This window comes from Homo sapiens, chromosome 21 (genome assembly GCF_000001405.40).
Source record: "Homo sapiens chromosome 21, GRCh38.p14 Primary Assembly".
NCBI lineage: Eukaryota > Metazoa > Chordata > Mammalia > Primates > Hominidae > Homo > Homo sapiens.
Genome location: NC_000021.9, coordinates 13,748,797 through 13,762,214, shown reverse-complemented (window position 1 = coordinate 13,762,214; position 13,418 = coordinate 13,748,797). Strand labels below are relative to the sequence as shown.

General features: G+C 37.2%; 1 long non-coding RNA gene across 2 annotated transcripts in view; it reads right to left on the bottom strand.

The window, feature by feature from the left end:
* Nucleotides 8,973-13,418, bottom strand: part of LOC112268283 (uncharacterized) — a 29,739-nt gene continuing 25,293 nt past the window's right edge. Inside the window, exon 5 of one of the 2 annotated variants that reach the window (XR_007067922.1) lies at nucleotides 8,973-12,108. This is a non-coding gene — a long non-coding RNA (uncharacterized LOC112268283). Of the gene's footprint in view, nucleotides 12,690-13,418 lie in introns of both variants that reach the window. The other variant, XR_007067923.1, reaches the window with a different exon arrangement.

Here is a 13,418-nt window from a genome sequence, read left to right as displayed (position 1 = left end):
AGAGACTTTTAAATATGCAGATCATTGACCTGAGAAACCATTTCGTCTCCAAAGGAACATTTGCAGGCTGTCGTGCAAATCTGCACTTGAGCAACTTTCACATTATGATCTTAGTGAATTCTTGACCAGATGGACTTGAACAGCTGCCACCCATGCTTGGGAAGTCACTTTACTTGAGAAAAGAAAATAGCTCATTTGTTTGCAATTCTTTCCTGAAAGTACATAAGGGCAATTTTCTACATTGTGAACTAGTATCAGAGCAACATTTTCCCTGAAAGACCATAGCTCATTATACTATTTAGGAACAAACAAACAAAAATATATACAAACATTTTTTGGGGAGTTTTATAATTTGTGCCTAGAAGGGACAAGTTTCTTTTCAGATTAAGTTTTAAAAAATGTTCCTTTATTCGAGCTGACATGGAGGTTGTAACTGAGAAAAACCTCCCTCTGAAATTAGAATGCCTTACATTTGTATAACATTCTATACTTTTCAAAGTGCTTTCAGGCACATTATTTCATCTGATCTTCAAAACAGCTCAGTGAGGCAGGTAAAGTGGGTGTTCTTATTCCTTACTGTTTAGATAAGGAAATAGGTTCAGACTACAGATATTATCTGAGTATCTACTAACTTCATTGTATTGTGCTAGGTGTCATAGAGGATAAAATAACATGTATTCCTAAAAGAAGAATCTTGGTTTTAGATAAGACATAACAACACAAAGCTAAATAATACATAAATGTACAATATGGTCAAAAGATGACAAAAGACAATGTATGGTCAAAGTATTAGAAACACAAGCAAACTGTGTTCTCAGATTAAGGGAGACTTCTTAAAGAAGGTGCTACTCGAATATATATGCCTGGAAGGAGGTTTGGAATTTGTGGAATATTTACTCTTTGGCATCAAAATCACTTTCTCATATAACCTTAGAGTATAAGAGATTTTGGCATTCATCTAGTTTGTTCTGATACTCGATGTTGGCACTCCCTATGGCCCCCTAAGCAAAGATGTTGGAATAGCTATGAGTCTTAACAATTCTATCTATATGCAGCTGCAATCTCCATTTCTATAATTCTACCCTTTGTTGACCAGAGTAAAACAAGACTAATCTATTTTCTCTTTCTGTGGAAAGCCTTTACTATGTCTGTAGTCAGCATGACAGCTTGATCTGCCTTTAGTCTTTTCTTCTTTTCATTAATCTTAAAGCTTCTGGAGATACAGTCATTATTTTACTGCTGAGCCCCTATTTTATTTATCCAAATTATCTATAACTTTGGCCATCCCAAATTGATACACTATTGTAGATATGCAGATTTGAATGAGGCTTTAAAAACTATTGTTATCTTTTTAATTCACTGCCAGCATGTCTGTTAATACTGCTAGTTGTGAACATTTCTCAATATAAAGTAACTTTTGTGTAAAAGTTGCATAATTAATATGCCTGGAATGAGTTATGAATGTCTTCCTAAAGAACAAAGGCCACCTTCATTGTGATGGCTTTTTTCTTTTTCTTTCGTATTTTTGTTAAGCCATTCATGATCTGTGCATGCCTGCACAGATGATACTTGCTTAAGGAACTAACACCAAAGCTCTAATATAGTAATAATCTTTGGTATTTTGTTTCTCATCTTTATTACTGGGAAAGTAAAAATTAATCACTCATGTAAATTAATAGTGCAATACTGACCTCTGGTATGTAATGATGAAATTGCTTACTGGATGAACTAGTGGATGCTTGGGAAGAGTTTTATGTTTTAATATAAGAACATCTTTCTCCAAGCAAAGAAGCTTCCTAGGCTATAATTACAAATGTGGAAATTGGGAAACGTAAAACTAACTAACTGAATGTAAAGAATGTATCTATGGTAGTTTATAGTAGTGGGTAAGTAAAAAAGGAAAAGAGAGAACAACTGACACTAGAACTGCCCCATTCAAAAACTTTTTTTACAATTCGGCCATCTTTTAAGAAACTAAACACAGTGAGTTGAGAATAAATGATGTACCCTCCCTCACTTGACTATATTTGAATTGGACTTAAAAAAAAGAGGCTGTTTTGAATTTCTGTGAGTCATCTCAGGTGGTAGATGTGTTTTCATTGCCTGCCACTCCCCAAAGTGCCTCTCCATTTACTTCAGACACAAGGTCCCAAAGTCATAATTTTCTAGTCTTATTTGCTCATCTTTATGATCTTGTAATTTTCTAAAGCCATACAATATGCCTGCTTTATAATTCAAAGGCCTAATATTTGTTAGGCTGGTTCTTGATTCAGGTTTCTCATTCTCCTTCCTATTTTCAGTATGTGTCCTTCCCTCACACTCTATGCTCAAGCCAAATTATCTATCTAGCATTTCCCCCATTGGCACCTTCTGAGCAGAGGTACTGCAGAGTGCACAGATAGGCCTGGAATGAGTCAGTCACTTTGCAGACAGAGGTGTAAGCCATGCAGGTTTAGGCCTCTACTGCCACCAGCGACCCTATTGCTGGCCTAATCCCTCCTGTAGCTGTGCTCATAGAACCTTAGAAATTCGTTACCTGTTGAGGGAGTATCGCTGGGCCAGTCATCAATGAACCCCGATTCCAATTTAATCCTGGCGCTGCCCCTGACTTGTTATGGGACTTTCTTCAATTCAGTTCAACTCCTAGGCTATGAGATTTCTACTTTCTAGTCTGTAACAAAGGGTGACTAGATTAGATGATTTCTGACATCCTTTGTAGTACTCCAATTCTACAACTCTATACATGTGGATTCAGGAGGCTAGCTCAAACCCTGGGTTCTTCACTTCTTGCAATACTCTCTCAATTCCCTTCTTCTCCCATCCTCTAGTTTGTCCAGATGTTACTGTATTTGTGTACTTCCTATGTATACTAAACCATTATATGGACTACACTCTACTGTATCTATTTGTCTATCTATCTTTTTAACTTCATTCAACTGAGATATGGTCGGCTGTTACTAGCTATCAATGGAGTGAATGAGAAAAGACTGCATATCTTGTCTTTATCCTGCAGGTCTGTCTCTGCCACATATTTCTGAGGAGATCCCGGGCCTGGGAAACTTTGGAGTCAACACTGACCTTTTATCCTGGTTCTATAAACCAGATCACATGCAAGAATGTTGCCTCTTAAAAATTCTCAAAAGTGATGAATAGCTATAGTCCAGGCTAAAGGAAAATGGAGAACACCAGGTTGTTAGTGAGAGCTGAATCACTCTGAGTTATGGAGTAACAAGTTTTATTAGGCTGGTGCAAAAGTAATTTGTGGTTTTCGACATCAATTTTAATGGCAAAAAGTGCAATTACTTTTGCTCCAACCGATAGTTCCCAGAGTCAGGTAGACTAGGAAGTGGCATTCAGAAAGCAGAGACTGGGAAGGTGGAGAAGAGTTAGTGAAATGATTTGAGTTTGGAGACAATGGGGTGAAGGCCCAAGGAAAGTTCCACACTCTTGGGTTGGCCATAGGAAAGCATTAAAACTCAGAATTTAATTTGACTAAATTTGTTTGCCAATTCAACTCTCAATTTCTAATTTTCAGTAAACTTTTATATCCTCACAAATGCTTTACATGGGTAGGTTTTTGTGGAAAACAATAAAGGCAATGAACATTCTATCTGGGTCAATGGTTCTTGATCTTCAGGATGCTTTAGAATCACTCGGGGAACTTTTGAAATCTGGATGCTGATGTCAGACTCCTGAGTGATTACAACAGAATCTCTGCAGGTGGCACCCAGAAATCGGTATATCTTAAAAGATCCCAGGTGAATCCAATATGCAGCTTGATTTGGAATGAGTTATTGTGAAACAATAGACTACAGTGATCAACGTGAACTAATCTGAGAGACTCCTCAGCAATCATGTCTCCTTTGTTCTTTAATCAGTTCTATTTCATCTTATTGGAAACAACTATTTTAATTTTGTAAGCCTCCACTTTTCTCAAAACTTCCAACTCCAATGCCATGTATACTCTCAACTAATGACTTTCCTTCTACCTTTCAGAGATAATTGGAGCTTAACATGAAAAATTTCTTCATTTCTTGTCACCAAATCTGTAAATGTGTTTTTTCTGAATTATGTTTCACTAGTGCCTTTCTATCAATATTTGACCATCCAAAGTCATCCATCTCTAGAAAGTAACAATACAGAAATATAGGCCGTGTGTTTGTTGGAAATAAAATAACACTAACAAAGACCTCTCTGAACCAACATAGAAAAGAGAACACAGTTTATTACTACATGAACATGGTCAGATTTCTATGCACGTAGGTACTACAAAAGTGACTAAAATGTCTAGGCAGACTTTCACATAATTTATTTAGCAAAGCAGAAGTAAGAATAACTTCTCATCTCCTCAAGAGACAAAGGGCTACATCCTAAGATAGTCCTCTTGTGAAAAACTCCCAAGTAAGTTTTGGAGGCATTTGTTTACAATTCCAAGGGTCAGAAAGTCCCCATTCTTCCACTGCAAAATCAAAAGCATAAACCTGTTATTTGGACCTATTAAGATTTCAAGGAAATACTCTAAGGAAGACAGGATGGAGAGATAGTGACCTCCAACCTCAAAAAAGTCATCATTTTACCCTTATGGTGTGTTTTGCTTGGTATATGCATATGTATTTCTTAGCTTTGTGAAGTGAAAGAATCTAGAAGAAATGACACCCTAGTAGAACACCTAGCCTCTAGACCTTTGTATCCAAACACTATTTCTCCATGAAAGAAACCCGTGCTCTTTGGGGAAATGACTAATTTTTAGAATAGGGAAAAATGGTTAATTCCTCCATCTACAGAGGAAGGCTGCCTCATTTGGATTGAAGCCACAACTGAGTAAGGGCTTCAATGCATGTAGGTGACCCACGTGGGGTGTCAGAATCAAAACAAGGTGAGGGAGCATCGAGACAGAAGTATTATCCATCACCTGGTGTCTAAACCCCTCAGGCTAGTGGGAAGAGAACACCCATGTAAGGCAGTGGCACAGAATGGGATAAAAAGGATTTGCATGTAGAAGAGTCAAGTCACTGTGGGATTTTCTGGTGTAAATAGACTGAAAGGGGCATCTGTATAGGAGGGCTCCAAGGTGCCAGGTATCAAAGCCAAAGAACAGGAGAAGGAGTCCACACAGAAGTGGTGGCAGAACCCAAGCAAGATGAAAAGGGCATCACCGCAGTGATACAGCAAGGTTGGAGTGTCAGAGCCTCACTGAGCAGAGTGGGGTGAGCACCCATGTGGGTTTAACCCAGGAAGGATGAGAAGAGTGTCTATGTGAAATGGATGATAATCTAGGGAGTAGATCAGAGCCCAGGGATGGCATCCAAGAATGACGGTGGCCAAGCATGAGGTGTTGGAGTCAGAGTAGAGTGAAGAAGGTAACTACACACAGGGGTAGCTTAATGTAGAGTGCCAGGGTCTTGAATGGGGTCTGAGGATTAGACAGTAACAGGGTATTAGTGGGAATACAACCAATGCTGACAGTTGTGTTGTGAACATGTAGGAGAAACCTGTTTGTAAGGAATAAACCCCAAAATATTTGGTGGTAACTGGAAATCAGGTCAGTAACTTATTCTCTAATGGTTCAAGAAATTTCTTTTTGTATTTTACTTGAAAATTTTGTCTAAAGCTCAATATATAAATATATATACTTTTATGAACTGGCAAATAGCAAATTCATTCTTAGGTGTATTATCAATAGAAATGTATACATACTGAAAAGCTTCCTGTTTGGATGTTTGAAAGGAACCACCACATTCCATAGAACATATTTACATGGGGCTTTTATTTAAAGGCAAAGGATATGGTGCAGCAAGTGAAAGAGAGTGCGGGCATGGACTGGGAGTCTGAAAGACATCCCATATTGAAAGCTACCCAGGGCTCCAAGTATTCACAGACACAGAGTGTGCATTCTGTCTCCAGTGTCAACCACCAAGATTCTGTGCTAGGAATCATGCTTTCAGGAGGGCTTCGAGGAGAAATTCTCCACAAGCCTTTTATGTCTCCTTGTCCATGTAATCAAGCTAGGTTTGTCAAACCAATTAGGCCAGTTGTAACCCATCAGTGAAAAACTGACCCTGTAGGTTACCAGGAGGCATTTCCTGACTTTAAATCATACATGATAAATGTCATTGCAGTTATTTTCACCAAGAGTAAAAAATCCAGATATCCAGGTTAAAAGACAAAGCTTTTTCTGTTCAGCTATAAATCTGCACATATTTTTACTAGAAAAAGAATATTTAAAGCATCGTATTCATAACAATAACAGAAGCCAACCCAAATATATCTATTAAGAGAAGAAATAGCAAATAAATTGTGATCTATTTCTACATGGAATACTATGGAACAATGAATAAATATGCATTATTGTTACATAAAATAACGTAGATCAATATGGCAAATAATGTACTGATAGTCCCTTTATATAAAGTTCAACACCCAGGCAAAACCAATCCCTTGTGTGAGAAATTAGGATATCAGTTGCCTTTGGGGTATTAAAAAAGAGGAATGGGCCAGGCACAGTAACTCATTCCTGTAATCCCAGCACTTTAGGAGGCTGAGGTGGGCAAACTGCTTGAGGCCAGGAGTTCAAGGCCAGCCTGGCCAACATGGCAAAACCCTGTCTCTACTAAAATTACAAAAATTAGCTGGGCATGGTGGTGAGTGCCTGTAACCTAGCTACTTGGGAGGCTGAGGCATGAGAATTGCTTGAACCCAGGGTGTAGAGGTTGCAGTGAGCTGAGATCATGCAACTGCACTCCAGCCTGAGCAACAGAATGAGACTCTGTCTCAAATTAAAAAAAGAGTAAGGATTGATAGTGAATATAAAATGAGGTGAGAGTTGCTGGTTATGTTTTATTTCCTCTCTTAGCTGATAGTTAAATGGCTGTGTCAACAATGTAAAAATTCATCAAGCTTAAAATTCGTTCTTAGATGTACATATGCAATATTTCAATAAAAGTGATTTTAAAATATTTTATATAGGGTTGCACACATATACACACACATGTGCACACACATACTCGACATTTATAACTGCTTTTGGAGTCTTCTCAACAAATCCATTTAACTTAACACTGAGTGGGTAGTGACATTACAGCATGTGTTTATTCTCTACCTTTTAAAGTTTTCTTCTATTATTTCCGTGAGTATTTGTTTTCATTTTTCATCTTTTAACTCTTGGTGACTCATTTAGATGGATATCACAACTTATGAATTCAAATTCCATTTCACTTAATGTTTCCCTCATATTTTTCATCTTTTTATATATTTTTAAATTTATTTTATGAAAATAGCTGAGGTTGATCCTCAAATTCAATTTGAAGGCAAAGGATGTTCATGCATAAAGTACTAGGCAGTTACTTTAAAAAATGAGACAGATTTCAGTCTTGTACATGTGCTATAATATAAAAAAATCACATTATCTTTTTTTTAATTTTTATTTTTTGAGACAGAGTCTCGCTCTGTCAACAGGCTGGAGTGCAGCGGCACGATCTCAGCTCACTTCAACCTCTGCCTCCAGGGTTCAAGTGATTCCCCTGCCTCAGCCTCCCAAGTACCTGGGACTACAGGCACACACCACCATGCCCAGCTAGTTTTTTGTATTTTAGTAGAGATGGGGTTTCACCATGTTGGCCATGGTGGTCTTGATCTCCTGACCTTGTGATCCACCTGCCTTGGCCTCCCAAAGTGCTAGGATTACAGGTGTGAGCCACTGCACCTGGCCCATATTTTTAAATTAAAAAATAGTACAATTTATGTAGTACAAGACCTTTAAAAATATCTCTCCGTGTGTATGTGGTCTGTGTGTCTTAAAAATGAGTGCAGGCAAGTGTATTTCTAGAAACATACTTTATTAGTTGGGTGCATTGGGTTGCAGGTAACAGAAAACATTCTTATAGTGACTTAAGCAATAAAGTCATCCAATTTTTCTACATAGCAAGACCTCCGGAAATGGAGACTAACAGATTTCCTGCAGAGCTCAACAATGTCAATCACCCAACTTCTTTCTGTTCTGCCACCACAGCACATTCCATTTTCATTCTATGTAATTCCTCACAGTTATAAGATCACACACAACTAACACAACTTAAATAATTATGTCTTTAAACAATAAAAACCAAAGAAAGAAAAAATTTCATATATTTGGCCATCATTTTCATTAGAGGTCAAAATCCTACTAATAAGCTCCCTCCTTTGGCATTCTTCCTAAATACATTGTATTACCTGGAAACAGGACAAATATTCATCTCTAAATCAATCACAAGCAAAGGAATTACACTAACGTTTGTATTAGTTTGCTTTTGCTCCAATAATGCTTAAGAAACATGACAAGAAGTTACTGACCGATAACAGCAAGCATTTACTCCTTGCTCATGAATTTTGCGAATTGGTTGCCGCAGTTCTACCTTAGACTACAGATGAGAGTCAGGTGTGCTCCAGGTGTCTCTCATTCCTGGACCCATGTTGAAGGACACAGACTACTTAGAGCATTTGATTTTTATAATGCTTTATATATATTGATTTTTATAATGCTTTATAAGCAAGAGTTGAAGAGGAGAAACTTCTTTAAAGTTCTGCTTAGTTACTTCTATTACTATTAACCTACCAAATTCTATTGGGTAGAGCAGTCACATAGCCAAGCCCAAAGTCAGTGATACAGGGAAATATTCTTTCCTCATTAAAAAAAAGGTAAGGATGGGGAGGGAACAAGAATCATCTGTTTTAATTATTTTTTTCTCAGACAGAGTCTCGCTCTGTCATCCAGGCTGGAGTGCAGTGGCACAATCTTGGCTCACTGCATTCTTCGCCTTCTGGGTTCAAGTGATTCTCACACCTCAGGCTCCCAAGTAGCTGGGATTACAGGTGCACACCAGCATACCCAGCTAATTTTTTGTATTTTTAGTAGAGAGGGGTTTTGCCATGTTGCCCAGGCCGGTATCGAACTCCTGAGCTCTGGCAATCTGCCTGCCTCAGTTTCCTGAAGTGCTAGGATTACAGGCGTGAGACACTGCACCTGGCCAGAGAACAAAGAATTAGGAACACACAATACAATCTACCACAATATTCATGGCCTAGATCAACCATGGCTCATCCTCTCAGATTGAGAGAGGAATCCATTGTCTGTGAACTTGTTGCAACAATACAAATTTCTTATTCATTGTGAACAAGAAATAAGGAATTGTGGCTATTGAGTAGACAACAGTTCAATGTTGACTTCTCACTATTTAAACAAATTAGACTTTTTTTCTAATTGAGAAAACACACAAACTTGAAGAAACAACTCCAACATTGATGAAAATAGCAGTGATTTATTTAACTAAATATTTTAATTCAACAATTTAGAAAGAGAGTTTTTAATCTTCCACAAACAATTCTACCTTATTTTAAAAAGGCTGCAATTTATATATATGGGACATTCATGTCACAGTATATCAGACAACTCTCTGACACCTTGGGTGCCCAGTTTTCTTTCAGGCAGGACATCAATATTTATCTTCTTTTAATTCTGGCCCATCCACTGGCACAGACTGGTCCCTTATGTTATTATCATGAGCTAGTGATACAGGAAGAGAAGCATTGCTGATCTGTGAAACTGGACAATACATTTAATCTGTCTTGGTATTTAAACCACAGTAGGCACCATGTTTAACTGGGTTTATGAAATGACATCTTGTTCAGGGCAAGGGTCAATATTGAAGAGGAGCTATATTTAATGCTAAATTAAGTGCCCAAGTTAAAGCTAAATTGTTACACACACAAGTCAGTAATTTCAGAACTATGACTTGCAAATAAATCACAAATTGACCTCTTTGAGCACACTGCAGGAAATACTTTGTGTGACATTATATGGCACTAATTGTAAAAGCCAAATCTGACTTCTTTCCAATTATATGTCCAAAAATCATAACTGAGAATTCTCTCTCTTTGGATTTTCTGACATTCTTTCCTTAGTATTAAGGTAATGAATGGCTTCAAAGCTAAAGTTATGGGAAATGCAAGAGCTTATCCAATAGTTAATATCTGAATCTTAGGGTTTATCAACTGTAGCATATCTAAAGACACAAAACCCACCTTTGCTGATTTCCTGGATGCTCTAGATGTGCAAATACAAACCTCACTGCACATGGAAGTGCCCTGTCAGGCACAATTTTCATAAAGGGAATTTAAATAGCTATTTTAATCTCTAGACCAGACTGTGCATTCCAAGAATCTAAGACTAATGAGCCACTTTCTCAGATAATCACTTCTAAATAAACAAGGTCTTTTGCACTGACCCAGGAATCTGCATTGTAGCTGAAAAATTAATTATACCAATATTATACTAGGCATATCTACAACAATACAAAAGAATGTTCTCTCCATCTCCAAAGTTAGATGTTCATTCAGATGAAATGCAATTTATTCATCTGGAAAGTTCTAAATGTTTTCCTTTGCACCTCTAAATGAGCAGAAAGATATTTCCTTTTAAGAAGAAAAGAGAAAATCCATTATTTTTACTTTTTCTTTAATATATATATAAATCAATAAATTCCCAAACTAAATTTCTCCCCTACTAATTTAATTTGGAATAAAATTAGAACCAATCATTATGAGCAAAATGTTTTCAATTAAGACATAATTAATTAAATGTGCAAATGCAGAATACATTTAGATGGGCTATCAGATGACTGATTATACTGGAAATCTAATTTTACACTTAAATTGCCAGCCACACACTTCATCTTGAGCTGTTGATCCATAGCAAGTTACCATAAGTTAAACCTTACCTCTGGAGGAAGCAGCCTCAGTGGACAAATTTTTTCCTGCAGTAATTCTATGACCATGCCATAGTAACTGTCTTTAGAGGGTAGTCAGAGGTATCTTGCATGAAGGAGCTTCATTCTTGCCATCCTTCTTGTTTTTCAAACAGCATTTTTTTTTTATTTTAAATAAGTAATGCACGTCTTGGCAAGTTGTGAAAGAAAGGCCTCTTTTACTCTTTTCTACTTACTAACCTTTTCTACTCACTCTTTAAAAGGAAGTTGATAATCAAAGTATTAATGTGTGAAAAGGTACTGAGCTTTGAACAATTTTTGAATTACTTAATATTGCATTTTAAACTGTCTAAATTATAGATACAAATGTCTGAATCTATACTTGCTGTTGGTGTTTATGGGTTAAGTATATCCTCAAACTAACCAGGATAATGAATTTTATTGCCTCAGAGATAGAAAGGATGATTTAGCAAGGTTTGTAATTGATATGCATCCATTTTGCTCTAAAAAATGAAGAGATTCCCATCACATAGTTTAAAAAATGTATAGGTCCAAAAATTGGCTACAGTCAATAATTCTTCTCTAAATCTGATGTTATTTAAGTTTCCTGAATATTTGAAAAATTTGTAAGATTTTTTCAAGGATTCTAAAAAGTGGGTGATTGAGGAGGAAAGCAAAAGTTGTCAGCAAGAAGCATTTGTTGAATGTCTACTATGTGCCAAGCAGTGCACTTGGTATTCTCATGTGTCATGTCTTTGTGTATCAATTACTAATCCATAGGTTGATGCAAAAGTCATTGCAGTTTTAACCATCATTTTCAAGGGCAAAAATCGCAATTACTTTTGCACCAAATGAATATCATTTCTCAGTCCCAAGCCAATGCTTCTATTTTTTGCAATGTTTAGTTGGACATCTATAACGGCCTTCCATGAGGCAGCCTACTGTCTCCCAGAGCATGATAAGGAAGTTCCTTGGGTTAGATATCTTTCTAGCCTGAAACATAACAATTTGCATTTCAGCCCATTGAATTAGACATTTTTCTCTTCAGATAATTTCTTTGGAAATGAAAATGTTCCTCAAAGTGTAGCTACCTATTGGGTCACTGAAGCTTTAATATTAGCAGGTTTGCTGGTTCGCTGTCTTCAAGAATAGTGGATATTTTGCCACAAAGGGAGAATAGGAAGCCAGAGTGGAAAGAGGGGAACAAAAACAGGGATAGATACAAGGGAAGAAGATAGACGGTATTAGCATTTACTACCCCATCATTATATGTACCTTGATTTGTTCCTGGAGTTGCTGAAGGATGGCTCAGTTTCCCCTTTCTTGTATAATTCTTTGATTCAGTTGTAGTCTGACTTTTGAAAGCTGACTGTAGAAAGAGGAATATTTAGAAAAATAGGCAAAGTGATGTTATGGTTTAAAATCATCAAGTGGGAAATCCAAAACCACGGTTCTCAACCTTAGCTACTCATGGAAACCACCTGGGAAATTTTTAAAAATACTGATGGATGGGTTCCATGCCCATAGATTTTTAAAAAATTCTTCCAAAGGATTCTGACATCCTAATCAGGGTTGAAAGCTACTGCTCCAAAGAGCTTGACATAATCAAATGAACATTTACCAGGTGTTCACAAGGTTTAGGAAGGCCCAGCACAAAGCAAAACCATAGAGACGTTGAGTACTCTTTTGCTTCAGCATTCAGCATACAATTCCAACTCCATGCTTTTCCTTACTTCCAACTTCCATCTTTGCCCCGAGCAACCTGTGCAGAAAACCATCAGTTTCCCTGCTCCACTGGACATCTAAGGACTATGGTGGTGATAAAAAATGAGAGTCATCAAAAAGGTCCAAGTTTAGTGAAGATGTGCAAAGGGAAGCAGCCCTTCCCAAAGAATTCAGTGAATGAGCCAAGATTCTCCAGAAACCGCTCAGCTTTGCAGTGATAATTTTCTGTGAAGACATAGAGTGAAATGGGAATAAGAGATAGAAAGTTGAAAAAGAATTTTCTCAGAATCTACATGTAACCTTACAGAAGGCAAACAGAAGGGTTAGTGAGATACATGGAATCACGCAGCTGAGGTGAGACAATGTAGGAAAATCAAGCATGAGACAGGAAATCAGGATATTGTGTTTCTTTGTGAAGACTCGGTTCCCTCTAATTGCTCATAAACCTAAAATCCCTACTTCATTCTTTGTAACATTTTTTCTCATTTCTTCCTGGAATTTTTGGATTCCATGCTTTTTAAGATGGCTTGAGAGAAAGACTTATCAGAGTCAACCTAACAGGCATTTATTAAGATACTACCAAGGGTGAGACCCTGAGTAAATGATTGTCAAATTTGAATATGTGGTTAGAAACACCTGAAGGACTGCTGGGCCCCACACCCAGAGTTTCTGATTCATTGAGTTTGAGCTGGGACTTGGGAATTTACATTTCTAGCAAATTCCCAGATGATATTGATATTGCTGTCTGGAGGCCACACTTTGAAGACCACTGCCTCTAGGAATGGGAAAAGAAATTAGATATCAGCAATCTGTCCTTAATGAGATTGCTTAAGGCTTTGTATTAGGGATGTACTTTGTCATGGAACATGTCATATAAATGACAAACTGAGAACACTGGCAACATATTTTAAAAGTAAAATATAGTACAATACACGCCAGAAGTTCTGAGAAGGA